General features: G+C 52.3%; 2 protein-coding genes across 6 annotated transcripts in view, besides 3 other annotated features; one reads left to right on the forward strand and one right to left on the reverse strand.

The window, feature by feature from the left end:
• Positions 1–27,101, forward strand: part of CHURC1-FNTB (CHURC1-FNTB readthrough) — a 148,295-nt gene that overhangs the window by 31,360 nt on the left and 89,834 nt on the right. The window lies entirely within an intron of this gene.
• On the reverse strand, positions 96–26,616 carry RAB15 (RAB15, member RAS oncogene family). Of its 4 annotated transcripts, NM_001330182.2 has the most exons (8): positions 26,233–26,616; positions 12,220–12,439; positions 6,791–6,851; positions 5,883–5,943; positions 5,354–5,431; positions 4,605–4,694; positions 2,948–3,013; positions 96–2,792 (listed from the first exon to the last, which is right to left on the reverse strand). In NM_001330182.2, exons 3-8 carry the CDS (start codon positions 6,835–6,837, stop codon positions 2,634–2,636), a joined length of 501 nt encoding a protein of 166 aa, NP_001317111.1. In that variant the 5' UTR covers positions 6,838–6,851; positions 12,220–12,439; positions 26,233–26,616; the 3' UTR covers positions 96–2,633. The 4 variants fall into 4 exon arrangements, with proteins under 4 accessions (NP_001317111.1, NP_001295083.1, NP_941959.1 ...); NM_001308154.2 differs by lacking the exon at positions 12,220–12,439; NM_198686.3 differs by lacking the exon at positions 12,220–12,439 and having other exon boundaries at positions 5,223–5,431.
• Positions 9,173–10,050: an enhancer, noted in NCBI's record as "H3K4me1 hESC enhancer chr14:65421611-65422488 (GRCh37/hg19 assembly coordinates)". NCBI's record gives its function as "activates a minimal SCP1, AML or CMV promoter by ChIP-STARR-seq in naive H9 embryonic stem cells {active_cell/tissue: H9 hESC(naive)}" and the evidence as "EXISTENCE:reporter gene assay evidence [ECO:0000049][PMID:30033119]".
• Positions 14,391–14,909: an enhancer, noted in NCBI's record as "H3K27ac-H3K4me1 hESC enhancer chr14:65426829-65427347 (GRCh37/hg19 assembly coordinates)". NCBI's record gives its function as "activates a minimal SCP1, AML or CMV promoter by ChIP-STARR-seq in naive H9 embryonic stem cells {active_cell/tissue: H9 hESC(naive)}" and the evidence as "EXISTENCE:reporter gene assay evidence [ECO:0000049][PMID:30033119]".
• Positions 26,409–26,778: a silencer, noted in NCBI's record as "silent region_5845". NCBI's record gives its function as "represses an Ori minimal core promoter by ATAC-STARR-seq in GM12878 lymphoblastoid cells {active_cell/tissue: GM12878}" and the evidence as "EXISTENCE:reporter gene assay evidence [ECO:0000049][PMID:35858748]".

Here is a 27,101-nt window from a genome sequence, read left to right on the forward strand (position 1 = left end):
GCTGCTTCTACCAGCACTGCCTCTCTCCCTCCCACATCACTGCCAGGGTCTGAGTGAGACCTACCCCCAAGGACTCATCCAGGCAGCCACACCGGTGGTTTGAAATAATCTTTATTTTGTAAACATCTGTGTTTAAAATAGATGAACCCTGCTCACAATTCATATATGGACCCGAGACACAGTACACGAAGTTCACCCGTCACAGGGAGATAGTGGAGGCTCAGGAGCAGGTGGCGTGCCTGGGGCTGGATGGAGTCTCAAGACAGCAGGTGCAGAGGTGGTGACGAGTAAACAGGCCAGCAGAGCCTGGTTAACAGTCTGGGCCTCAAGACATGCCCCAGGCCACCAAAAGTTTAGGGTGAGCGTAGCTGCACCCTAAAATCCCAATTCTCCTTCTGCTCCCATACCTTTTCCCAGTCATGGCCCTTGTGGATAGGGCCTATCAGTCTATAGAATCCTGATTCCATGTTTTCCCTTCCAGAACCCCTAGGGTACAGTACAAATATAGTCCTTCTTTCCTGAGGGGGCTAGGAGAGAAAGACAATGAATGGCACCCTGCCTGATCTTCAGGGAAAGCTGAAATACTGGTCCACAGATTGGAGCCACTGCCCAATATAACTTCTCAAGTCCCTGGCTGAAGACAGACTTGAGGGCTGGCATCACCTACTTCCCTAGCCCCAGTGTGATGTGGCATAGGTCTTGATACCCAAGGAGTCCCATCTTCAAGGAAGCAACTCCAGCCTAGTCACAGCTTCATCCTAGAGTTAGCTGTCTCCTTTTCTCATTAGCCAGTGATTTACAACTTCCTGCTCTCCTTTGCTTTCCACCATCTAAGCTATACCCTGTCCCTAAGTCCTGAGCCACCCTCTCCTGCTGTTTTCCTGGTTTGGTAAGTCAGGAGGAAAGGTTTGATGGTTCTTTCCCCACTTCTTTTTGGAGGAGTAAGGAAGTGAGGTTCTTATCCTTCACATATGAGTGCCCTGGATTTTGGTTCTTAGTTGATGAATACTCAACACCCAGTTCTTTGTTTTGGCTGCAGCCACGCAGTGCAGCTAATGTGTGGCTTAAGAATGACCCTCTTCCTAGGCCTCGCCCACCTTGGGACGGTGGGCAGGAACCCCAGTAGAACTGGTAAATTACTTGTTCCGTCTTTAAAGGGCCTCCTACGAGCTACTCTTGGGCCATATGGGGTTAAAGAAACTTCCTGAACATAGCACTCTGGAGGAAGGAGTCCTCTTCCCTCCACCTGTAGCCACAGTGTGGTTGGCAAACCCTCAAGCCTATCAGGAGGTAGAGGGCAAGATGAGCGCTTTGTCTTAAAGGCCAAAGAGAACAGCACCAAGCGTTTCTACCCAGGGCCTTCCTTCTCTCTTCCCATGAAGTCTTTGCCCTTCTCCCATAAACTTTGGGTCCCAGGAGAACCTTGGTTGCTGAAGGCTAGGCTCAGTCCTCCGCCTGGGAGTCTGAGGAAATGCTCTTCTTACCTAAGAAATGGAAGATGGGGCCTAGGAGGCCCTGCTGTTGCTACATTCCCCTCTGCTGTGCAAACTGCTGTCCCTGGCCAGCTCTCCCTTGCTCTTAACCTGATACATAGGAGCTAGTCCTTCATTTCCAAATGCTCCCCTTTGTGGAGTGCATGGTTGGCCTGACAGTGTCACTGACCCCAGGGCTCTCCTTGCCCCTGGAGTACCCACAGGCCTTGGTCCACATCTTTAAATTTGGGAGCCAGGTGGAGAGAAATTGTGTTCATGCTGCATGGGAGGTAGAGAATGGAGGTGACTTTTTATCCCTGCCACCCCTCATTTTGTTTCCTTCTCTGAAGCACCTGCCTCTGAGCTCAGTTCCCCAAAGAGGCAGGCGGGCAGCCAAGCAAGGGCAAAGCTCTGGTCGGGGAATGGGTAGAGGTAGGGCAGCCCCAGGCTCGAGGACTCCCTGGTTGCCGTTTCCCTCCTACCTCGATGCTCCACTTTCGCAGGTCACTGGGGAGGCAGGCCCATGGCACATGAGGGACAGTGGGGGTGGGGGAAGAGGAAGAAGCACCCTGTAGCCTTTGGCCCACCCACGAGGCAGGGTGGAGGGTTCTTCCTGGATCCAAGGGTGGAACCTCCCCACGAGCCTGGGTCCATCCCCTTGGATAGCTTAGGAAGGAAGGAAAGAGCGAGCTGCACACAGCAGGACACACGGGGGACGGGGTTTGAGGAGCTTTGATACGAAACGCACCGGAGGGGAGGGGTCAGAGAAAGAGAAGTGGGGGAAGAGAGAAAAAGCAGAGAAGAGACACGATGCACGGAGAAAGGAGCAGCTGAAAGTGGCCTGGACTCCAGCCCTGGCTGTTGTCTGGTGGGTGCGGGATGGTGAGACAGTGCTTGCGGCACATCGTGGGGGTCGTAGCAGGCCTGTGGCTGGGGAAACAGGCTGAAGAAGACCACTCCAGGGTGGACGGGCTGGGGACAGGGGCTGCTTGAGATGACAGCAGAGCCGCTCTCAGGGCCAGGCAGGGGGAGTAGTGGCTACTGATACTCAATAGGGTCATCACACGAGAGGACAGCAGCAGGGCAAAGCCCCGGCTCCCCTGTCTGCCCACGGGCCTCCTGAGGGAAGAGGGGTGTCGTGTGGGGTGCCCCACACAGGACTCAGCACCAGCAGGTTTTCGAAGAGTTCGCTGGGCCCTCGGGTTTGCCCTCCTCCTCCTCCAGCTCTGCCAGTGCCAACTCATTGCTGGCACGCATCCGGAGGCCTTCCAGCTCCTTCCTATGGGCCTGCAGCACCAGCTCTGTCAGACGCGTGAATGACTGGAAACCAAAGGGCACAGGTTAGTCCAGTGTCTCCTCCTCTCCCCTGGCAACCCTGCAGCGGCCTGAGGGATAAGGTCCATCTTATGGCTCCTCCTCCCACCTCTGCTGGACTCAGCCCGAGAGAGCGGGCGCCTGGTCACCAGGGCTCTCACCTCTTTAATGTTGAGGTTGGTGCAGGCACTTGTTTCATAGAAGTCCATGCCATACTCCTTCGCCAGCTGCAAGAGAAGGACATTTCTGAAAGAGAGTCAGTAAGGCAGGGGAGGGGCCCATACAACCAGGCACAGGCTTCTGCCACTGCACTCACAACCATGCTGTGTTGTGACGATTTCTCAGAGTAGATAATTTCTCAGATGGGACTGGGAGCTCCAAGAGAGGGTAGCAGAGAATGGGGGAAGATCCTCCACAAATATGCCTCTCCATTCTTCCAGCTGCCACCCCACGCCTCCCAACACACAATCATATATCAGGAGATAAAGACACCATCCATTGTGGCAGTATGGCATCCTCGTAAAAAACATGGGCTCTGGAGTCCCACAGTCCCAGACCTGAATAGCAGCACTGCCACTGATGGCTAGCTGTGTGACCTTGGACAAGTTGTACATTCTCTGTAAGCCCCAGCTTTATCTTCTGTTAAAGGAGACTGAGTGTGTCTCCCATCCATGGTTGTGGGATGATTCAGTGGGGTCGTGCACTTAAAAGCGCTTGCCTTAGCACAGTGCCACACATAGAGTGCTCAATAAATACTATCCTAGTAGGCTTTGCCTCTACTTTCAAATTGGTCAATGACCATGTCTTATATTTTATACCAAACAATCAATTTCATTTTAAGTACTAATGGAACGCTATTGACTGAAAAGGGAGAGGAAAACTCTTGAGGTCCACGGACTGAGTGGATAACTTATCTCAGAAATACCAATCTTGGCTGGGCACAGTGGCTCACGCCTGTAATCCCAGCACTTTGGGAGACTGAGGCAGGTGGATCACCTGAGGTTAGGAGTTCGAGACCGGCCTGGCCAATATGGCAAAACCCCATCTCTACTAAAAATACAAAAAAATTAGCCAGGCGTGGTGGCATGCACCTGTAATCTCAGCTACTTGGGAGGCTGAGGCAGAAGAATTGCTTGAACTCAGGAGGCAGAGGTTGCAGTGAGCCGAGATGGCGCCACTGCACTCTAGCCTGGGTGACAGAGCGAGACTCCATCTCAAAAAAAAAAAAAAAAAGAAAGAAAGAAAAAAAAAATAACCAATATTTCTTTCTGCTCTCTGGGAGGATGGTCTCCCTGCATGCTTGGACATTCCCTCAGCGTCATCCTCCTACCCTTTCTGCCCCCATGGCTTCTCCAGCTGTGGCTCTTTGTCTCCTCATTTGCCTCCCTGGCTCTTTCCTGGGTAAGAAGGACAGGAGTGGGGGAGTGTTGGGTGGGATGGGAGATCATTTCTCGACCGTAACATGGCAGCTAGGCCTGGATGCTGTCAGAGAAGAGGTTGACAACTTGAAGTCCTTCATTACTAACACGGGGATGATCTCTTAAGCAGAGGGCAATCCTGCATTTGGGGACCTGGACTTGGGAGAGTTGCTGCCTATGACGTCTTTGTTTCTGGATGGACCCCGAATCTCTGGGCTTCTGTCCTGAAACCCAGACAACAAGCCTTCCGAGGATGGCCACTCCCCCAGGGCCTTGGGGTGCTGGGGACGTGTGGGAGGACCTGCCACTGGGGAACACACCCCTAGGTCCCCACGCTCAGGACTGGCCCTGGAGGCCCAGCAGAGGACCTGGGGTGGACTTGCCTTTTCCCTCCACTTACCTGCTGCCCTTGCTCTCTTCCCACCTGCCGTTTCTGCTCCTCATCAGCCTTATTCCCAATAAGGATCTTCTGGACGCCTTCTGGTGCGTACTAGGGACAAAGGATGGGCAGAACAGCCAGTGAGTGCTGCCTGCCCCCCCAATTTTCCCTACAGAGTCTGCACTGCCTCCAGCCCACCACCAATTCCAGAGCCCTAGGGACAGGGTGGGCCGACTGGATGCAGGTGCCAGGCTCCCCCAAGTGCCATGGCTGACCTCAAGGGTATCACGGGGAGAGCTTAGGGTAGAAGACACTCTGGCTAAGACTGGTGCTTCCTTGGGTTAGACCACTGGTATCAGAGCTGGAAAGGACATTGGATGTAAGTCCAGCCCTCATTCTACAGGAACTGGGGACCCAGAGGATTCAAATGGCTTCCCAAGGCTCCACAGCTATTGTGCAGAGCCAGGACTAGATCCCAATCTTGCAACTCCACCTGGTCCCAAGATTTCAGGAAAGAAGCTGCTCACAGGGAAGACTTGGAACTAATTCATTTCCGGGAAAGACACAGCCGTGGAGGCCTGGCAGGGTATAGAGAGTGAGGGCATGGCAGCTTCGGTTTCTTCCCCATGTCTTACTCACCCAGAGGTCTTCATCCAGGGCTGTGGAAGGCAAAGCTTCCTGGAAGCATTTGCCTTCCCATCTGGCCCTCGCCTTGCCTTCCCCGGTGAGGCACCCTCTCCACACCCCGGCAGTGAGGTGGCATCTCCTACCTCATCCACGTCACTGACCCACTTCATGATGTGCTGGTAAGAGCGCTCGCTGCTAATGTCATAGACCAAAAATATCCCCTGAGAGAGAGAGAAATAGAGAGATGTGATATGCACAGAGAGAGTGCAGTCATGGGGCCAGAAGGGGCCGTGGAAACTTAAAGGTTGGGTCCCACTCTCCCATTCTCCCTGCTCAGCATCCAGAAATATCTCTTCTCTCAGACCCCACCACTGCCGCCTCCCAGGCCCATCACAGAACTCTCTACAGCAGGAAGACACCACATGCTTTGACCTGGATCTTTGACCCAGGATGGAGGGTGGAAGTCAGGGGTGAGGGCAGGGGCCTGCCTGCAGTGAGTGGGCCATGAACAATGGACGGACAAATGATCAGTGAACAGCTGAAAGACGCCCTGCGCTCCTCCAAGCAGGCGAACTGTATTTAGGGGATCCGTGGCACAGACATCTCAAATACCCAGAGCTGGGAGTGTGGGTGGCAGCTTCCCACTTTGAAACCCCCAATGTGGTGGCTTACCTGGGCCCGCCGATAGTACTGCTTTGTGATGGTCTGGTATCTCTCCTGCCCTGCAGTGTCCCTGCAGGAGAAAGCCAGTCCCTCAGAGGAGCAGGGACCATGGGAACAGACGGGGAGGGGAAGAGCAGAGCTGTCCCCTTGTAGGAAAAACTGGGGAGCTAAAGGGTGAAAAACCAGGGATGCTTGGATCCCCACAGGGATCTGCAGTCAGAGGCCTGGTCATCTGTGCTGGTGCTGACCAGGCCTGCAGGGCCTTGGCCCCTCCTGCCAACTGCCCTCCTGGCAGAAACCAGAAGCCACAGCCAGAACAGGCCTTGGACAGCTCTCTGGAATCTGGCCACTGTGGCCAGATTTGGTTGGATGGGAGTTGGCAGGGGATGCTGCTACACCCCTAGTCCCTATGGGACCTCTGAAGGCAGTGCCCATACTGCTGTGGAATTGAGAGGGAGCTCTAAACCCTGGCAAAGGCAGTGCTTCCAAGACCTCAGGCAGAGAGCCACAGCAGCACCCTCTGCTACTGTGGAAACTTCATCATGCTATCCTGAGGAACTCTCTCAGGGTCTCGCCCTAAATGATGGGGGGTGTAGCCTCCTTCCTTCCAATCTTAACATAGTGTGGCACAGCCCAAGGGCAAAGCCTAATCCTGAGATAAATTCACAATGGTTAGTGTGCCAGTTCCTTCTAATTCCTGCCCTTTGGTGCTTGTAGTCAATCCCCTAAAGTTTCTTAGAGGTTGGAGATTAAGGCTTATAGGAAGAGATGGGCTTCTGAGACTTCGCTTCCATCCATCAGAGAGGTGGCCAGTTATCCCAGGTGAAGCCTAGGAATTTTACACATGGCAGGGGCAGCTAAGGAGCAGCCAGAAGTCCTCTTCTCCTACATCTGCCTCCTCCTCCTCCCCAGCTCACCAGATCTGTATCCGCACTTTGATGCCGTCTACCTCTATGGTCTTCATCTTAAAGTCAACACCTGAAGAAAGGAAGAAAGAAAGAAAGTTAGAAAGCGTACCCACGAGAAATGAACAGGAAAGGGCCAGGCAATCACACTTGAAAGGTTTCCTTTCAGTTTAATTTGGCAAAGGGATGAAGTAATGTAAAGGCCTTCTTTAAGCAGAAACTGACCTTAAGGAAGTATCTGAAGCTTTGAAAGGGGCTTTCCTCCCTCCCTGAGCTGAAAGTTGCCACAAGTAAAGGCCCTGGGGGACCCAGAGGAGGGAGAGTGAATCTGGGGAAATCTACTTCATCACTGCCTTACTCGACAGACTTAAAACATGTCTCGTTCTAGTCATGTGTGAAGTCTTCCTATTTATACTTCTGGAGAGAACGCTGTGTTTATCCTTCCTGAAATTCTAATCTCTAGGAATAGCAACCCACATTATTTGCCTGCTTTCTTCCCTCTCTCTCTTTGCCTTGTTAATAACCAGAAGGGGTCATAGTGCCAGACTGTGGAGAGAGAGGAGGGCTCTTCCAACCCATGATTGTACCTGAAGCCTCAGCACCCAGCCAAGGCTCACCAAAAAGAAGGCCTCATGCGTCTTGGTTGCTGACTCACTCATTCACCATAGGAGGCACTGTGGTTGACTAGAAGGAGCATGGGCTTTGGTGTCAGGCCTGAGCTTATCTCCTCCCTCTGGCCACTCATAGCTCATTGCTATAACATCAGGCACCTTGCTTCACTGAGCGTCCATTTCTGCCTCAGTAAATATCTTCATCAGGGACATTACCAGTATCTCAGAGGGTTGCTGAGGAGGCCGGATGAGATACAGCACCTGGCCCAATTGACTGCAGCTGTCATGAGCTAGTGCAGGGCCGGGTACATGCGGGTGCTTATGAGTGACTGTCATAGGACCAGATGAAGAGGCAGTGGCATGGCATGGCATGTCACTGCGGGAGGGAAAGGAAGCAAAGAGTTCCCACGCTTCTTCATCCAAGGGCTGGAGGAGCTAAGCTGCCACGAGACACAAGAAACCGAAGGGATTTGGCAAATGCGTGCAGGGCAGAAACATATTGGAGAAATCTGCAGCAAGAGAAGTCAGCACCACCAGCAGCAGCCAGCTTGACTCTGAGTGACAACAGAGAGATGAGGGAGGTTGTTTTGCTGACCATGCCTCTCCCCAACTCTAACTATACCCAGGCACTATGCCCAGGGATTCAAGAGCTACGTCTGGTGGGTTAATTAAGCTTACGTCTTTGTGTACTCCCTGGAGCAAGGTCAGGAGTGGGCATGATCAGCCACAGTTTTCAGATGGGAACATGGTAGAGTTCCGAACCGTCTGCCACCAGCTGCACTGCCCGGCCCAGAAGGCCTGAAGGCACCAGCATCCCCATCACCACTGCCACTCCACCTCCGCATCAGTTATTTGCCAAATGGGAGACATCTTCCCTTATCTGTGCTGTCCCCAGCTTTCTACAAAGGCAAACAAATTAAATTCTGTCTCTTCCTTCCCACCATCAAGACCAATCATCATTTAATTACAAGGGAAAAAAGATGCAGAACGGGCAACCTGAACTAAATCGATTTGGTCAGACGTGAATCATTTCTCGCCTGCCCAAGCTGATTCATATCCATTGAGCTGTACTTTTCCAAATGGGCAATGCCTGGCAGCCATTCTTCCATGTGTGCAGAGAAAGAGTGAAGAGAAGGAGGGAGGAAGGGAGGAAGGAGAGAAGCATCAGGCCTTGGGAAGCAGGAGTATGCTTATTTCTGCCTGGATCAACGGTTATCAGGCACCTGTTTCTCCCCAGTACCTGGCATAGAAGGGAATCAAGACATTCTTGTTTCATGATACAGCACCTTCTTCCAAGAAGAACGAGAAATTTTCTCCAATTTGTAATATACCTGGTTTATCCTCACACTAGCCTAGCAAACCTGGCCAAGGACAGTGCCTTGTGCAAAGCCATCACAAGGGGGACAGGAAGAGAGAAGGTTTTATTTCCTTTATCCCACAAACATTTATGGGAACTTCCTATGTGCCCTGCACAGTGCTCAGTGCAGACAGAGCAGTGAAAAAGACATGGCCCCTGCCCTCAGAGAGCCTAGTGGAAAGGAAACAAGGGCTCAGAGAGGTCAATGGCTAGCCAGGGTCAGCACAGCACGTGCAGAGATTCCAACACAGGTCCATCTATGCTGGAACCCACGCTGCCCCTTGCGCTGGTTCTTAGGGAAGCAAGAGGAGAGTCGTGTAGTTGGCTAGGCCTGGAAGCCCTAACTCTGCTTAGTTTCCTTTTTGCCTGTGGGTGCCTGAGAAGGACTTTGCTAGGAGAGGAACTTCCAATATTAAGGTGAATTTTTCCCTGTGAGAGAAGAGGGGATGGAGGGAGAGGTGAAAGCAGGCAACTGTCCCCAGAGACAGAACTGACAAGGAGACAGGGTACTCCACCGGAAGTGAGGCTGGGCAGTGACTCCTTCTCACCTCCTCCCTCACTTCTTAGCTATGTGGCGGGGGACTAAGGCTGAGGAATTCCGGGGCTCGCAGCACTCCCCGGCCTCACACACACCCCACCATCTTGCAACCTAGGTCTCACTGGCCACCTGGGAACATGTGTTTTATTCACCTTTTGGCTATTCATATGCATTCACATATGATGGAAGAAACAGAGTAAGTCTATGTCTTCTGAAGGATTTTCCTTCCTCCCTCCCCGCCCACACAACCTCTCTTAAATTTAAAAAAGGTTAACAGCCCAAGGATCTTCAAGAGGAATCTATTGCTTCTGCGCTCTGTTCCCACACAACCTGGGCCTTCAGCTGTGTCCACCTACCAGTCAAGCCCTGGCCCCAGTAACCCGTGCCCATCGTGGCTCCTTCCCTCTCCCTGCGTGGCTGTTGGTTTTTTCCACTGCTGAGCACTGCAGGACAAAGTCAACACACTGGCCTTATTGAGGCCTCTGCAGACGGATGCTTTCTCACCTTGGCCAGCCCTCGCAGCTGCTTAGCAAACTGTTTATTCACATGTGTGTTCACCTATCACTGTCCCCCCACTGAAGACTTCAGCTCCAGGGCACCCCCTCCCCACCCCTGTGCTCTCAGCAGGATACCTTCTCCACTGTTTTATGGCCCAGATGAATGCCTTTCCTCTGAAGCCACCTCCTTTCTTCAGATTTTCCTAAGTTCTCTCTGCCTTCCCTCAGGGAAGAGTCCTCTGTCCACATCTGGCCTCTTTTCGGTCATCAGCCCCACCTGGGTGCACACCCAGAGAGTCAGCCCTTTTTGTTGCATCTTTAGTATCCGTGAGAAGAAGAGATATTCTCCATCTATCTCTGCCTCCAGTGGTTTCACATTCCGGCTCCTCTAAGGTCATATTTCTCAAACTTCCAGGTGCATGAGAATCACGCGGGGATTGAGTTAAAATGCAGATTCTGATCTGGTAGGTGTAGGGCAAGGCCTGAGATGCTGCAGGAAGCTCCCAGGTGAAGATGACGCTACTGTCCACATATCGCCTGAGTAACAAGCTGTTCTCAAAGTGTGTCCCTGGACCCACAGCATCAGCATCACCTGGGACTTGTTAGAAATGCAAATTCTGGCCGCACGCGGTGGCTCACACCAGTAATCCCAAGACCTTGGGAGGCTGAGGTGAGTGGATCACCTGAGGTCAGGAGTTTGAGACCAGCCTGGCCAACATGGTGAAACCCCCGTCTCTACTAAAAATACAAACGTTAGCTAGTCATGGTGGCGGGCACCTGTAATCCCAGCTACTCAGGAGCGGGTCTGGGGTGTGGGGAGAATCGCTTTAACCCAGGAGGCAGAGGCTGCAGTGAGCTGAGATCATGCCACTGCACTCCAGTCTGGGCGACAGGGTGAGACTTCATCTCAAAAAAAAAAAAAAAGAAAAGAAAGGAAAAGAAAACGAAATGCAAATATGCAAATTCTTGGGCCTTACCTCAGACCTATAGAATCAGGCCCTCTAGGTATGGGGTCCCGCAATCAGTTTCAATAAGCTCTCACAGTGATTCTCACACATGCGTAAGTTTGAGAACGACATTAGGACAAAAGTTTTGCACCTGAAGTGTCAAGAGAGCGAGAGCACAAGAGTTCTCTGTTTCTCAAGGTGTGCTTTGCAGAGCTTCGGCTTTAGAATCACCTGGGGTGACTTAAAACAAAGACAAAAACAATGACCTTGACGTGCCTAGACCTACTGAATCATAATTTGAGGGTGAGGCCCAGAAATCTGTATTTTTAACAGCACTGTGGGTGATATTAGATAGAAGTAGTTTCAAGAGCTATATATGTCATGGAAGAAACATCCATTGGCCTGGAGTCAGAAAGACCTGGTCCAAGTCCTGGTTCTGGCACTTACTGTGTAACTTCAGGCAAGTCTCAACTTCTCCTAGCTTCAATTTTTTTTTTTTTTTGGGATGGAGTCTCACTCTGTTGCCAGGGATGGAGTGTAGTGGAGCAATCATAGCTCACTGCAGCCTCGATCCTCCAGGACTCAAGCAATCCTCCCAGCTCAGCCTCTGGGTAGGTAGCTGGGACTGCAAGTGTGCACCACCATGCCCAGCTAATTTTTTTTTTTTTTGTAGAGATGAGGTCTCCCTGTATTGCCTAGACTAGTCTTGAACTCCTGGGCTCCAGCGATCCTCCCGCCTCAGCTTCCCACAGTGCTGGGATTATAGGCATGAGCCTCCGCACCAGGCCGATTTTCTTAAGTGTAGAAGGAGAATACTGCTTCCCTCCTAAGGGCTGTGCTGGGATAAATTAAACGATGTATGTGAAGCACTGACAGCGTAGTCCTCTCACTCCTACCTTCCCTCTGCTGAATAAAGGCTTCCTGGGGAGTCAGGAAAACCAGCCCAGAGAACCCTGAAGTGGAAGGCATTACAGAGTCCTGGCCCCTACTAACCAGGTACCCTTGCCAGCCAAGGGACTAGAGCATCAGCAGCATCAGAGGTGTGTGAGAAATGCACATTCTCAGGACTCGCCCAGCCCTACTCACTCTTCTGCACAAGAAAGTTTCAGAACCACACCCAGGTGCATAGTGCTTGTCTTTACAGCATACCCCTGAGCTATGGAATCCCTCAGCTCTTATGCGGGTCCCATGAAGTAGGCAGGAGTAGGTATTATTGTGAGCCACAGGGAAGCCAATTCTCATGTTCCCACTGACTCATGTTCCCACATCCCACAGCTGAGCTGGACTGGAAAGCTGGTGTCTTAAAACCCACCCAGGGTATGCTTCACTCGGCCAGAGGCTTCCCAACCCTGGGAGGCTGAGGAATCTTACCACCTTTTCCCACATGCCCTGGCATACCCGATGCCTTTTCCCACACACCCTGGCATACCCGATGCCTTTTCCCACACGCCCTGGCATACCCGATGCCTTTTCCCGCACACCCTGGCATACCTGATGCCTTTTCTCTTTTTTCTTGACGGAGTCTTCCTCTGTCGCCCAGGCTGGAGTGCAGTGGCACGATCTCAGGTCACTGCAACCTCTGCCTCCTGGGTTCAAGCGATTCTCCTGCCTCAGCCTCCCAAGTAGCTGGGATTACAGGCACGTGCCACCACACCCAGCTAATTTTTTGTATTTTTAGTAGAGACGGGGTTTCACTGACATTATGCGGCATCTAGAAGTGAGGCAGGGGGCACATGAGGAGAAGCCCGCTGCTGTGGTCTGAAGGTCTGTGTTCCTCCAAAATTCCCATATTGAAACTTAATCCCCAGTGCAGTGCTGGTGGGAGGTGAGGGCTTTGGGAGGTGACTCAGTCGTGATGTTAGAGCCCTCATGCATGGGACTAACGCCCTTAGAAAAGAGGTCTGAGGGAGCTTGTTCCCTCTTCTGCCATGTGAGGATGGAGCTAGAAGGTGCCACCTTTGTCACAGAGCATCAGCCTTCACCAGACACTGAATCTGCTGGCACCCTGATCTTGGACTTCCCAGCCTCCCAAACTCTGAGCAATACATTTCTCTTGCTTTAAATTACTCAGCTAAAGGCATTTTGTTACAGCAGCCAGCCCTAACTAAGACACCCACCATAGCCTATTTTCTCCTTCCTCCTTGGCATGGTTCATGATTCCAGTAAGTCCAGATTCATCACCCCGACAGTGTCCCTACAAAACAGTCTACTTCCTTTCTTGGGTACAGAAAGAAATAGGGCACAGAAGTGTTAAGAAACAAGCAAACCACTTCTACACAGCTCTGGCAGAGGTTCTCGGAGACGCTGAGAGCCCCAGGAGGAGAAAGTCAGACAGATGGGCCCTCTCCCAACCAGGTGCCCAAAGCACGGAGAGCAGCTCATTGTTTTTCCCGGCACATTAGATATGCCCATCATGGTGCCTGCCACACCCTGTGTCCCTTTCTGGCTAGAACAGCTCAGCCCCAAACCTCTGCTCAGAGAAGCAGGGCTGGGTGCAACATGTTCTTTGTGGAGAAGCAGGTTCAGACTGGACCATCAACAGGTTTGCTGGTGACCCACAGGGTGACCTGGCCAGCAGAGGCAAGGGAGCTTAGCTAAGCCAATCAAACCAGCTCACTCCAGGCAGGGCAGTGGGGACTGACCAGTTGGTAATGAGCAGGGCATGAGGCAGACAAACATGCAGAAAGAAGCGGAGAGGCCTAAGGATGATGAACATGCTGACTGCAGTTGGGGCTGGGGACGGTGGATCCTAGCACAGCCATGGGTCCAGACCAGACTCCAAGTTCAGCCCATGGGTATCCATAGAGCACATGCCCCTTTTCTTAGTGACACCTGAGAGTGCCTCAGGATTGGCCACTGCTGCCTAATGGCTCCCCCAAGCTAGTGAGCCAGATGCTTCAACAAGGGGGCTGGAAGGAAGACCTCCTAAACCATCGCTCCCTGCTCCTTACTGCCCCCTATTTTTGTCTTCTAGCCTCAACTACACAAAAAGAACCTAAGGGGCAGAGAATACATTTTGTGGTTGACAAAGCATTTGTTTTGTTTGCTCGTTTTTAAAATCTCTGCCACATAGTGCCAGCATAGTGCCAGGCATAAAGAAGCAATTCCAAAACAAATTCTAAATAAATAAAAAGGCCAAGCACAGTGGCTCACACCTGTAATCCAAACACTTTGGGAAGACGAGGTGGGAGGACTGCTTGCGCCCAGGAGTTCGAGACCAGACTGAGCAAGAAAGTGAGACCCCATCTCTAGAAAACAAAAAACAAAAAACAAAAAAACCCAGGTGTGATGGTGTCCACCTGTGGTCCCAGCTACTCGGGAGGCTGAGGCAGGAGGATCACTTGAGTCTGGGAGGTTGAGGCTGCACTCCAGCCTGAGTGACAGAGCAGGACCCTGTCTCAAAAAAAAAAAAAAAAAAAAAAAAGCAATTCCATGAGGGGGATCTCCCCCTCACCCCAGAGAGCATAAGAAGGGCTGCATGCCTGAGGCTTAAGAGCAGGGAGACGTGTCCTGCCACCTGATGCCTCAGACATTGGCAAGAAAAGCTCCTCAATCAACTGATGGTGCCATGCAGCCATGGCCTGAGGCAGCAGCCCTGGGCCCCATCCTCTTCCTGCTGTGACTCTGTCTGTATGGTGTCTGCCCCAGCAGCTGCCAGGCCACAACTGGAGCCCGAGGGTGCTGGGACAGCGCTGCTGTTGGAGAACTGGGAAGACAGGCAGGGCCCTCCTCTGGGCACCGGGGGCAGGGGCAGGATAGAGGGATGCAGCAGGCGAGACACCCAGCACTCACGTGACTCCTAAGCTAGCTCGCCTTGGGTGGGCAAACAGGGAAAAACTTGGTGCCTCCCCAGTACAGCAGTGGAGGTGCTGTGACGCTTACAGAAAGGAGCAGGCAGGGCACATCCACACTAAAGAACACCCCTTCCCATCACTGTCTGCCTCCCTAGAAAGCCCTAGAAAACATGGAGGAAGTGTGGCTCAAGACACAGAGTGTCCTGGCCATTAAGAGCACAATTGGGAGGTCAAGTTTGGTTCCAACCCTGCCTTTATCACTAATTACCTGCATGGTGTTGGGGAAGCCAGTTAGCCTATCTTTGCCTCAGTTTCCTCACCTGTAAAGTGGGGGTGACAGAGGATTCTCAGAGAATTTTTTTTTTAAGATTGTGAGATAAGGTGTAAAACCCATAACACAGGGTCTGGCACGCAGAACTTTATTAAATGTTAGCAGAAGCAGCCGTCAAGCTCCCTTAGGGAAGCATGAGATTAGCGAGCCCAGAGCTGCAGGAGGGGGAATGGAAAGAGCTCTAGGATGTAGAAGGAGGCTTATGTTGGGGAGAGGAAGGAGAGTGGGACAGAGAGATGAAGCCCAAGCCAGCACTTGGCTGGAATGTTTCAACAAAAAGAGGAAATGCCGCCCCCTGTGGGGCCCAGATGGCTCCTGGAGTCTGGCTACAACCTCAATTCTGGCACAGGTAGGGTGTGCCTACTAGCGGGCCAGCACCTCATGGGTTAAGGGCAGCTGCCAGCTTGCCTGCCTGCCAGCCAAGCTCCGCATGCTTCAGTGGAAACAGGGCTGCCTCTGGGTGCCAAATGTTATCACCAGGATCAACCACAGCCCAAAGGACCAGCAGTGCGACCTGAACTTTTCATTAGTAATGAGACTCCACAACGAGGAACAACCTAATACACCTGAAACCCAAGGCAGACACCCAATCCCCAGGGCCAGGCCAGCTCCAGTTACCAAGCACAGGTCCCAGGAGTGCCCCAGCCCCTCCCACTGCAGGAAACCAGCATGTGTGGGCCATGTGCACCTCCTGTGGGTTGTGGCAGGAGGTCACCTCTAAAGAGGTCACCCTGTGCAGCCCTCAAACACCAAAAAAGACCCCATTCACACAGGGATCCCGGGAGCTGATATGGTTTGGCTGTGTCCTCACCCAAATCTCATCTTCTTTGGTATATGCAGAGATGAGGGGTCAGTGCTTTAGACTAAGGTCCATGTTGCCTATTATTCAGGGTCAGAGCTGGTATCAGATGATGCCCATCAGCTCAGCCAGGTTGCTGGAGTGACCCTCCAGGGCCACCTCTGCAGCCAGGGCACTCTGGAGTAAGGAATCTCTAGGGCTCAAGCAGTGAGGCCATCCACTCCCTCCAGCCTCATCATCTTAACAGTCTCAAGCCCAGGCATGGTGGCTCACACCTGTAAACCCAGCACTTTGGGAAGCCAAGGTGTGAGGATCACTTGAACCCAAGGAGTTCAAGATCAGTCAGGGCAACATAGTGAGACCATGTCTCTGCAAAAAATTTAAAAATTAGCCAGGTGTGGTGGTATATACCAGTGGGCCCAGTTACTCAGAAGACTGAGGTAAGAGGATCACCTGGACCTGAGGCCAGGAGGTTGAGGCTGCAATGAGCTGAGATCACACCACTGCACTCCAGTCTGGGAGACAGTGCAAGACTCTGTCTTAAAAAAAAAAAAAAAACAGGCCGGGCGTGGTGGCTCATGCCTGTAATCCCAGCACTTTGGGAGGCAGAGGCAGGCAGGTCACCTGAGGTCAGGAGTTCAAGACCAGCCTGGCCAACATGGTGAAACCTTGTCTCTACTAAAAATACAAAAATTAGCTGGTCGTGGTGGCAGGCTCCTGGAATCCCAGCTACTCGGGAGGCTGAGGCATGAGAATCGCTTGAACCTGGGAGGCGGAAGTTGCAGTGAGCCAAGATTGTGCCACTGCACTCCAGCCTGGGGGATACAGTGAGACTCTGTCTCAAAAAACAAAACAAAACAAACAAACAAAAAACAGTCCCAAGAAACCAATACGACCTATAACTTCCCTCAGGGAAGAACAGAAGTCCTCTAGGAAAATGCATTCATTCATTCCTTCATTTGTTAATTCATTCATTCAAACTGTTATTGAATGCTTACAATGTGCCAGGAACTAAGCCAGGTACTAGAAGATAAGCTATGAACAGCACAGAAAGATCCTTGTCATCAGAGCTTAATTCTAGTGGGGAAGACAGATGTAAGTAATGAATACCTAATTTCAGAGAGCCATATGTGATAAGAAGCAACTGCGGGATAAAGTAGAGAGTGAGGAGACCCCAAGCACAAGCAACCTTAGACTGGCTGGCCAGAGAAGACATTTTAAAGGAGGTAACATTTGAGCTGAGACCTAAATGACAAGAAGGTGCCAGCAGGGAGATCCAAAGAATCAGGTAGAGGAAGCAGCAAAGATCCTGTGGCAGGACACATTTCAGTCAAACTCACAGTTCCTAGGAAGAGGGTCAACAGTACTCTCTCCTTTGTTACAAAAGGGGAACTGCAGCAAGACCCCTCCCTTCTCTCAGGTCTTGTGTGGACCCTCACATGTGCACCTGCATCTGTACTGTTTACTGCGTGTCTTCTAGCATCTGGTTTAGTTCCTGGAACATAGTCAGCATTCAATAGCACTTACACTTGTCTGGAGGCGTGAACCTGAAGAATACACCAAGAAACTTCTCAAATGCCAGCAAGGCCAACTTCAGAACTCCCTGCTCCTATGTGATGCTGAGATCTCTATACACTGAATAAATGGCATGCGTAAAGCCCACCGTCCCTGTGTAGGTAGTAGGTACATAGTAAGTATATGGAGTAGATAATCAGGATCAGTGTTCCCCTTCCCCACTTTTTTTTTTTTTTTTTTTTTTTTTTTGAGACAGGGTCTCACTCTGTCACCCAGGCTGGAGTACAGTGGTACGATCTCGGCTCACTGCAACCTCCACCTCCTGTGTTAAAGTGATTCTCCTGCCTCAGGCTCCCAAGTTAGCTGGGACTACAGGCGTGCTCTACCACACCCAGCTAATTTTTGTATTTTTAGTAGAGACGGGGTTTCACCATGTTGACCAGGCTGGGTCTTCCCCTTGCTTTTCCCACTGCCTTGTGCACAGACCTCCCTAGAGCCTTGGTGACATGTGCAGTGTGCTCCAGCCACCCCATCTCGCTCCCCATTGGCAGCCCCTGGAACTGGGTCTCGCCTCCCTAAGCCTGCTACTTAGGCCAGCGGGCACCACAGAGGCAGCCAAGACCCACCAGGCTACTGACCACTCACTCCTCCAGCCTCCTTCTCAGGCAGGGCTGTGCTGACTGGTAGCAAAAGGTTCAGGGAAGAAAAGACTAGGACATAGAAACTCAGGAGCAAACATCTTAGAAAGAAGGGGGCTTCCAGATGCACCTGCCCTCACCCAGAGCCAGCAAAGCAATCTCCTGGCAAGGGGCTTCTTGAACTTCAGCTGGTGTGACCATGGTGTGGCCACTCCAGCTGGCCCCAGCAAGGCTGAAGAGTAGCAGCCCCACTGGAGGTGTTCTCCACAGCACCTCCTACAGGGAAGAGGATGTGTGCTTCCCCCACACCCAGGGCCCCTGGAGAATCCTGCCTAGTCTTCAAGACTCCACTCAAATGTCACTTCCTCTTCAAAGCCTTCACCAGCCTCCCCGGGAGGGATTTCTCACTCCTCTGTGATTCCAAAGCATCCTGACATTTCTTTTGCATAATATTCTGCTTGTTTGGATGTCTGGTTCCCAGCTACACTGTAAGCTCCCAGAGGGCAAAGCAGCATCCTGTTCACTTCAGACTCTCACTGCCTGGCAGCAGGTAGATCACTAAATATTATTCAACAAAGTAGAGTAAATGAAAGCAAAAATGAATGAGCAAGTGAGACGAATAAATGGATGAATGAAGTCAGTACATATCTAGAGAAAAGATGGGCAAAGAGAAAATTTTAATCAGGGAAGAGCAATTAGAAAATAACCCACTTTTAGGCCGGGCGTGGTGGCTCATGCCCGTAATCCCAGCACTTTGGGAGGCCGAGGTGGGCGGATCACGAGGTCAGGAGATGGAGACCATCCTGGCCAACATGGTGAAACCCCTTCTGTACTAAAATACAAAAACTTAGCCCAGCGTGGTGGTGCGTGCCTGTAGTCCCAGCTACTCTGGAGGCTGAGGCAGGGAAATCACTTGAACCTGGGAGGCAGAGGTGGCAGTGTGCTGAGATCTCCACTGCAATCCAGCCTGGTGACAGAGCAAGACTCTGTTTCAAAAAAAAAAAAGAAAAAAAGAAAAAAGAAAGAAAAGAAAACAAACCACTTTTTTTTGTTTTTATTTTTGTTTTTGAGATGGAGTCTTGCTCTGTCGCCCAGGCTGGAGTGCAGTGGTGCGATCTCAGCTTGTGGCAACCTCCACCTCCTGGGTTCAAGCAATTCTCCTGCCTCAGCCTCCCGAGTAGCTAGGATTACAGGCACCTGCCACAACACCCGGCTAATTTTTTGTATTTTTAGTAGAGATGAGGTTTCACTATGTTGGCCGGGCTGGTCTCAAACTCCTGACCTTGTGATCTGCCCACCTTGGCCTCCCAAAGTGCTGGGATTACAGGCGTGAGCCACCGCACCCAGCCATAACCCACATTTCAAAGCCAACTGTTAGCCCTTTCTATAGTTCATGGTGCCATGGTCACAGAGTTCTCAGTAATTTTTTTTTTTTCCTGAGACAGGGTCTCACTCTGTCACCCAGGCTGGAGTACAGTGGTGTGATCACAGCTCACTGTGGCCTCCAACTCTTGGGCTCAAGCAATCCTTCCACTTCAGCCTCCTGAGTAGTTAGGACTACAGGCACATGCCACCATAATCAGTTAATTTAAAAAGTGTTTTTGTTTTGTTTTCTTTTCTTTTCTTTTTGTTTTTTTAAGAGATGGGGTCGGCCAGCCATGGTGGCTCACTCCTGTAATCCCAGCACTTTGGGAGGCCGAGGTGGGTGGATCAGCTGAGGTCAGAAGTTCGAGACCAGCCTGGCCAACATGGTGAAACCCCATCTCTACTAAAAACACAAAAAATTAGCCAGGTGTGGTGGTGCATGCTTGTAATCCCAGCTACTCAGGAGGCTGAGGCAGAAGAATCGCTTGAACCCGGGAGACAGAAGTTGCAGTGAGCCGAGATCGAGCCATTTGCACTCCAGCCTGGGCGACAGAGCTAGACTTCATCTCAAAAAAATAAAATAAAATAAAACAGGGCTGGTGATTAGCCCCTTCCTCCTCAGTGGGAGGAATTACGTGTCCAGGAAGCCCTGTGTTCCCCTTGACAAAGCTCACTGACCAGAGAGAAGAGCCAAGGAGAGGGCAGAGGCCTATACAGAAAACTGGCAGTTTCACAGGGAAACTGGTGCAAAGATTGGATTACAGAAGAAGGCACTCTGAGAAGAGCTGGCAATCAGGGTAGAAGGATAATGGCCAAATATCAGCTTTCATGTTATAAAGCTCATCACCAGCCTGTCTGGGGAGCGGGGAGAAGGAAGGAGGAGGAGGAAGGAACAGAAACCAGGGAGTGCAGGTAGGCGGGAGGAACCGGTGCTCCCAGCTGTGGGTGCATCTGCGGATCTGTGGCACAGATGCACAGCAGCGGAAACCCTCCGCGGGCTTCAGATATGTTCCTTCCCAAGGTCATGTCCTTGGGGAAGGGGTGGGAGGCCGAGTCTGTGCCTGTGTCAGGAGGAGAAACAGAGGCCTGAGGCAGAGCGACACCTAGCAGGGGCCCAAGCCTTGAGGCAAAGCCACCCCATCCTCTCCTCTCAGGTCACCCCACTGCTTCACACCTCCTCACCACCTCACTCTTCCTTCTCAGACCCTGGCACTGCCAGGGAAAGGGGGGTACTAGAGCAGAAACTGAAATGAAACACAGCTTCCTATGCACTCCCTTGGAATGTAAGCCAGCTCCTTGGTTTCTGTCTGTTTTGGTCACCACTGTGTCCCCAAATCTTAGCATGGCACCTGGCATGTAGTTGGTGTTCAGCAAATAGCGCCTGAACGACTGAGTGCACAAGTGATGGATACACAGGATGACCTCCTAGCTCACTGACAGTGTATTCATCTCTACAGCATTCTTATAGCTAGGAATAATAATAATAGCCGGGTGTGGTGGTGGGTGCCTGTAATCCCAGCTACTTAGGAGGCTGAGGCAGGAGAATCACTTAAACCCGGGAGATGGAGGTTGCAGTGAGCCGAGATTGTGCCACTGCACTCCAGCCTGGGCGACAGAGAGATACTCGGTCTCAAAAAAAAATAAATAAATAAATAAATAAAATAATAATAATGATAATATGATAGCAGCTATTATTTTATCGAGGGCTCTGCCAAGTGCTTTATATGCGCTAGGCTCTATAATCTTCACAACAACCTTTAAGAAAGACTCTGTTACCATCTTCAATTTACAGATGCAGAAACGAAGCACAAAGATGTCATCAAAGTGTCTGAAGGTCACAGGGCCAGTAAGGCCATGGGAAATGTGCATGTTAATCTGGGCTCTTTCCATTCTGCTCATTGCTTCTCACCTTCCCTTCCTTTCTAGGTACCAGGGGAACAGAGTAGGTAGAGACTGGTCTCAGGCTGCCTGAAGGCTGACACAGACCCAGCCCTGACCCTCTCACAACGTCACACTGCATTTGCCCCCAGCTCCTCTCAGTCTAGAAACCTGCAAACCCCAGGATCCTAGTGTCTAAGCACAGGCCCCAGTGTCTGTTAGGTCACCCCATTCCAGGCTTGGATCTAGCCCCACCCCCTCCCTCACCATCTCCCACCTCCTCAGTCAAAAGCAAAGTCAAGACAGGCAGCCAAGCCAGTCCCAGCAGAACTCCTTGAGAAAGGTGACATAGCAGCAGCAACCCAGCCTGAGAAAGTGCCCTGAAGCCACAGCAGCCCAACCTGTCCAACCAGATCACCCTCCTCCTCACCCAGAAGGAGTGTAGCCTGGAGGGTGGCTTTCAAAACAAAAGGTCCAGGGACTAGGTGACAGGTCTACTCAGGGAAGACTAAGGATGGGAGGGAGAAAACCAACTCCTGAGGGAGTGAGGTAGCTCACGCCTATAATCCCAGCATTTTGGAAGGCTGAGGCTGGTGGATCACGAGTCCAGGAGTTCGAGACCAGCCTGGTCAACATAGTGAAACCCCATCTCTACAAAACGTACAAACATTAGCTGAATGTGGTGGCATGCACCTGTAGTCCCAGCTACTTGAGAGGCTGAGGTGGGAGGATTGCGTTTAGGAGATCGAGGCTGCAGTGAGCCGTGATTGTGCCACCACCACACTCCAGACTGGGTGACAGAGTGAAACCTAGTCTCAAAAAAAAAAAAATAGAAAAGAAAAGAAAACCAACAACTCCTGAGCAGTCTCTTCAGTTTCCATTTGTGGTTTACATCATCTCACTCCTGGCCACCATGCAGAAAGGTCCTCAAAGGTCCCCTGAACATAGATGTCCATGTATGACATCTTCTCCCTACCTGGTCATGGCACAGGTCCCATAAGATTCTTTCAGAAGTTGCCAGGTTGATTGGCTTGAACCACTCCCCATTCTGGAGGGAAAGTAGAACAACTGACTGTGTGGAAGTTGGTGTTGGTACCACTGGGGGTGAGGGGCCATTCAGAGGTTCCTTCATGCCCAGATACTACTGCAGCCCCTGACTAGTCTCCCTGCTTCAAGTCTTAACCCCTTCTTCCAGCCAACCTCATTAGTACCCTACTCAAAACCCCTCCTACCATTGCTAAGGCTCATGTTCCACCTCCTTGGCCAGGCTCTCAATGCCCTCTGCCAACTGGTCCCTGCATTCATTCATTAATTTAACAACAGGCATTGAATCTGCCTGGCCCTGTACTAGGGACTATAAAAACAATGAGGAATAAGATTTGGTCGCACCATCAAGGCACTTATAATTTGGGAGACAGAGAGAGAAACAGAAGAATCTTCTCACTTTCCTGAAGAATCCCTTCTGTTGCATCTAAACTGCCTAGAGCCCCACGGACACCTACTCAATCCCACCTCTGTTATCTCTGCTCATGTTACTCCATCTGCTCCCTTCTGCTGCAGGAACTGACGAGCAGCCCACACTGAGGCCTAGCTTCAGCCTTCCCTGCCGGTTCTAGTCCACAGGGGCCTCTCTCTTCCCCAGCCTCCGACAGCATGGAGTCGTGGGAATAGCACTCACCCATCCCATCCATCGCCATTCTCCGGCTGCCTCATGGTACATCTTGCATCATAATTTAGCTTCTGATACCCACTGTGAGACCTTCATTAAGAGTAACTGCAATGATCATAATCCATCCTTTACATTTGAAGAGTGATTCACCAAGTTCTTTCAGATATCTCATTTTGGCACTAGCTCTTTGTTTTTTGTTTTTCCCTTTGTCTTGCCTCCCCATCTAGGTTATGGGCTTCTGTGGGCAGAAAACGTAGACTGCAATATGTCTCTAAAATGCCTGGCACAGAGCTTGGTAGTGAATGCTCAATTAATTTGTTTAAGGTAGTATTTTGGGGACCCCTTCGCACCAACCCCCAGCCAGGCCAGCACAGCTGCACAGAAAGGAAATGCCTGTGGCAGAGCCAGTGGCAGGGCCACCTGCTGGTCTGCTGGCCAGAAAGACGAAAAGGATAGGGGGAGGGACAGTCAGTGTCTCAGTCTACCAGGGAGGCCTCTCACTGCTCCCTGGCGGGTTCTTCTCTAGAAGATCGCAGGCCGTTAAAGTGGAGTACACAGTAAATCACAAAAGTACTGGCCTAGGTGATATCCACATGAGCCAAGAAGCCAAACTATCTTGGCAATAACTGGTGAATTACCTTGTTTTCTTAATTCACAAAAAAAGCCCCTGGGAAAGGTGCCTCGATCAGTGGCCAGCATGGTCATGTAATGTGTTTTAGGTAATGCACAATTTGAGAACAGTGACTGTAGGTATTATTCATCTTGGAATCTCTCGGTCTCAGTGCAGAGCCTGGCATACAGGACACGCATTTTTTAAAAATAAGCGAATGACTATGACTTGGTAGCACTCATTTCGTTGGCTCCTTGATTTGTCTCCTGGCTGCCCCTTCTACCTCCTTGAGAAACTGTCCATATCACTTAAGGAAAAAGCTTTTCTTGACCATCCAACTCTTTCCTTTAAGTTTTAGTTAATGCTGAAAAACACGCCCAAGATAAGGGAGAATCCCAAGTCCCTTAATAAGCTTTAAATAAGAAAGCATTTAAGATACCCAGTGGGGCAGATTTTAAAAGGCTGGTGTGAAGAAAGACAGGTTTCTTTCTATTCCATGGAATCCAAACTCCTAGAGTCCTCTGTGTCCTGTGGAAAGGGGGACCCTAGAGAATCCTCTGTGTCCTGTAGAAAGGGGAACCCGGGTGTCAGAAGCGGAGGAAGAAATCTGGGAGCCATCTTTAGGTTTTAGGCCAATATACCAAGGGCCTTGAGGGGAGACAGTGCTGCAGAGACACCCCTACTCAGTTCACTGATTCACCTATGTGCCCAAAGTGGTCTGCCCTGGAGGGTTTCAGGAAGTCCCTGTGACCTATTTAGTGTTCACCTATTAGCAGAAGGTGTCTAAGAAGGGAGATTACAAGGGGAAGGGACAAGGAGAAGGGTGGATGATTAGAGGTGTGAGGCAATGGACTCTCTTTAAGGAGAGCACGAGCCTCAGAGGGCCATCCTGGTATTTTAGAAAGAGGGGTGCCCTCAAAAAGGAGGGTATGTGTCTCCCAGGGGAGGCTGCCTCCCACAGCACTAAGCAGGAGTCCCAGAGCTTCTGAAATGAGGTGGTTGAATGAAGCCCTCAAAGGGAAAAGTCCATGTCACCTATAGGACTTGGAATGGGACTAGGAGAGCAGGTGCAAACAACAGCTCTTCAGGCCAAAGCCAGGGCCTCCCAGGCAGCCCACAGCTCTCTGGAGATAGCTCAGTAGTTCCAAGCACCAGGCCTCTCCCAAAAATAGCCACTCCTAGTTTCCTTAAGGGATAACCCACCGCCCTTTGTCCCTGAGCCCACAACCTGTCCTCATACACCATCTGGTTCCTCTGCCACTTCCTCCATCACGCCCATGCCTTTCTCCTGCACCTGCCTCTTCCCCAAGTCCTCCCGGCAGGCACAAAGCCTTAGTGTCTATAGGCTCCCCTTCTTTCTGCAATGTCTCTCATCCAAACCATGGCTCAGCCCAAGCTCCTGGGTTTCCTAAGAGTTGGCCTTACAGCTCCTCTGAGAAAGACGGACAAGTTCTGTTCCCTGACCCTAAGTCCTGTTGTTTCACCCTTCAAGTTGGTGAAACAAAGAGAGGAGACCCTAAAAGCTCAATGATAATGGCAATAGCAGTAAGAACAATCAGCATTTATCGAGCTTCACCATGTGTCTGGCTGTGCTAAGCACTTAACAATCGTTATCTCATTTAATCTTGACAACAACTTGGCAGGTAGGTGCAATTATTATACCCGTTCTACAGATGAGAAACTAAATAAAGCTCAGAAGTTTAGGCAATATTCAAGGTTGCTTTGCCCCACAGTGAGGTCTCAGGTCTCTTGGACAATAAAGCTGGCTTCTTAACCAGAAGGTTCTGTTCCTCCTGGCTGTATCTATCTGCTCCTACTTCTCTCTCAGCAAGGAATGTGTGTTGGGGGGAGGGGGGATGGTGTGGACATGAATCCTCAAGAGGAAGCTGAGAGCTGGTGCCCATCCCTGATGGCAGCAGGGACTTCTAGGAGAGCATTCCAAATGGATGACCAGCCAGCCAGCAGGTGTTTCCAGGGGCCTGGGCAATGCAGAGGCTACTCCAGGGCTGACCCGGGTAGCAGCTGAGGATGAAATTCCCTCTACTCAGACTTCTCAGGGAGGGGGCCCCTCACAGCCTAGAAGCGGGAGACTGACTGTCTCAGAGGGGAGGCCATGGACCCATTCCTAGAATAAGTGACCCCATCATAGTGCTGTCTGGGATGCCACCGGGTCTTGTCCCTCTAACCACAGGCTCCAGCACTGCCAGATGAGAGATGCCCTCAGGCGGGTCCTGCCTGCCTTCTGACCCCTTGGTCTGGGCAGGTATTCCTGACACTCCTCCATCCTCTTTAGCCTCCCTCAGAACAGATGTCTCCTCTTCCCAGGCGCAGGGGCTCCTCACCCTATCTGTGTCCTCCCCCAGGTGTCCCACCTTGCGGCTTACCTTCCCAACTCTGCCCTGGAAACTCGATCCCTGTGGCCCCTCCGTACGTCCTCTCTTCCCCCCCTCGCCCCCCGCCGGCTCCACCTTGGGTCACCACAGAACCAAGGGCGCCTCAGTGACTCCGGTCTCCACCCTGACCCCCTTTTCCGTAGCAGAAGCTTTACTTCCCCTCCCCCTGGGGGTGTGGGGATGTTATTCCAGCGGCTACGATTCTTGCTACCCCAGCTCGGGGTACCCAGGCCTACACCAGCTCCCCTCACCCCCGGTTTCTCGGTTTGATGGGACGGAAGGCTTCCCGGCAAGAGGCGGGAGACCCCACCCCTGGTCCGGACGGCAGGCAGCAGGGACACCCTCACCTGCCAAAACCTATGCTCACCCCGAGATTTATCCCGGACTCCGGCCTCCGGCGCCACCGCCTCCAGCCGGAGGGGCTGGCAATTCCTCCCCAGCTGGGGACGGGGGCGGCGGGGAAAGGGGCCGCGGGCGGGGAGGGAGGGGCGCCCCGGGCCACCGCCCCTTACCGATGGTGGAGATGTGCGAGGAGTGGAACTCGTTGTCGGTGAAGCGGCACAGCAGGCAGGTCTTGCCCACCCCGGAGTCCCCGATCAGCAGCAGCCGGAACAGCACATCGTACTGCTTCGCCATGACTGGGGCCAGCGGGGCCGGGAACTGCGGGCGGGCAGCGGGCTCAGCCCTGCTCCGCCGCTGCCATCGCGGCCCGCGCCCGCCCGGGGACGCTGCGGGCGGCGAGGAGGACGCCGGGCCCGGCCCCCGCGGCTGCCTCGCCCGCCCGCCTGCCCACTCGCTCGCTGGGTGCCGGGAAGCGCGGCTGCGGCGGGAGCCCGGCGCGGCGCCCGCTCGGCTCGGCTCGGCTCGGCTGGGCTGGCGCGAGGCGGTGGGAGGAGAAACCGGCGGCGGCCCCTGCCCGCCCCTTCCCCTGCGCCGCCGCCGCCGCCCCGGAGAGAGGGGGCGGGGAGCGCGCGCAGGAGAGCGGGACCCCATCGAGCAGGCGACGCTGGGGCGGGGCGCCAGCCCCCCCTCCCAACCCCTTCCTGCCCGGGGCGGGGGAACGTTTTCGTTTTTCCGCGGACGCTCCGAATGGGGGAGTTGAGGTGAGCCCCCACCCAGCCCACTTCTACCGTGCTCCGCTTTCCGGGCTCACCACTTCTCCCCATATCCCACCCCAAGTCTGGCGCCGGTAATTCCGCCCGCCGTGGCACCCTGCATCTGCAGGATCTGGCCGGGCTCCCCAGTGGCTGGTACCTCAGCTGGGCTCACCCGAGGTAGGAAGGCCTTGAGCAGGATCTGGATTCGAACACCCGTCTCCATGAGTCCCCGAGAGTGTGGGTGGAATTCCCCCTCCCTGCCATCTGGCTGCCCCTTACCTGTG

Source organism: Homo sapiens, chromosome 14 (genome assembly GCF_000001405.40).
Source record: "Homo sapiens chromosome 14, GRCh38.p14 Primary Assembly".
In the NCBI taxonomy this organism is placed as follows: Eukaryota; Metazoa; Chordata; class Mammalia; order Primates; family Hominidae; genus Homo; species Homo sapiens.

Bases quoted from the DNA above. Each gene is read 5' to 3' on its own strand.
- RAB15 (NM_001308154.2), bottom strand. From the start codon at position 26,356: ATGGCGAAGCAGTACGATGTGCTGTTCCGGCTGCTGCTGATCGGGGAC. The intron at 5,432-5,882 runs GTAAGCCACCAC...TCTCTCTCTCAG, and splicing joins AGTACTATCGGCGGGCCCAG to GGGATATTTTTGGTCTATGA. The intron at 4,695-5,353 runs GTAGGAGATGCC...CTTTGTCCCTAG, and splicing joins GGGTCAGTGACGTGGATGAG to TACGCACCAGAAGGCGTCCA.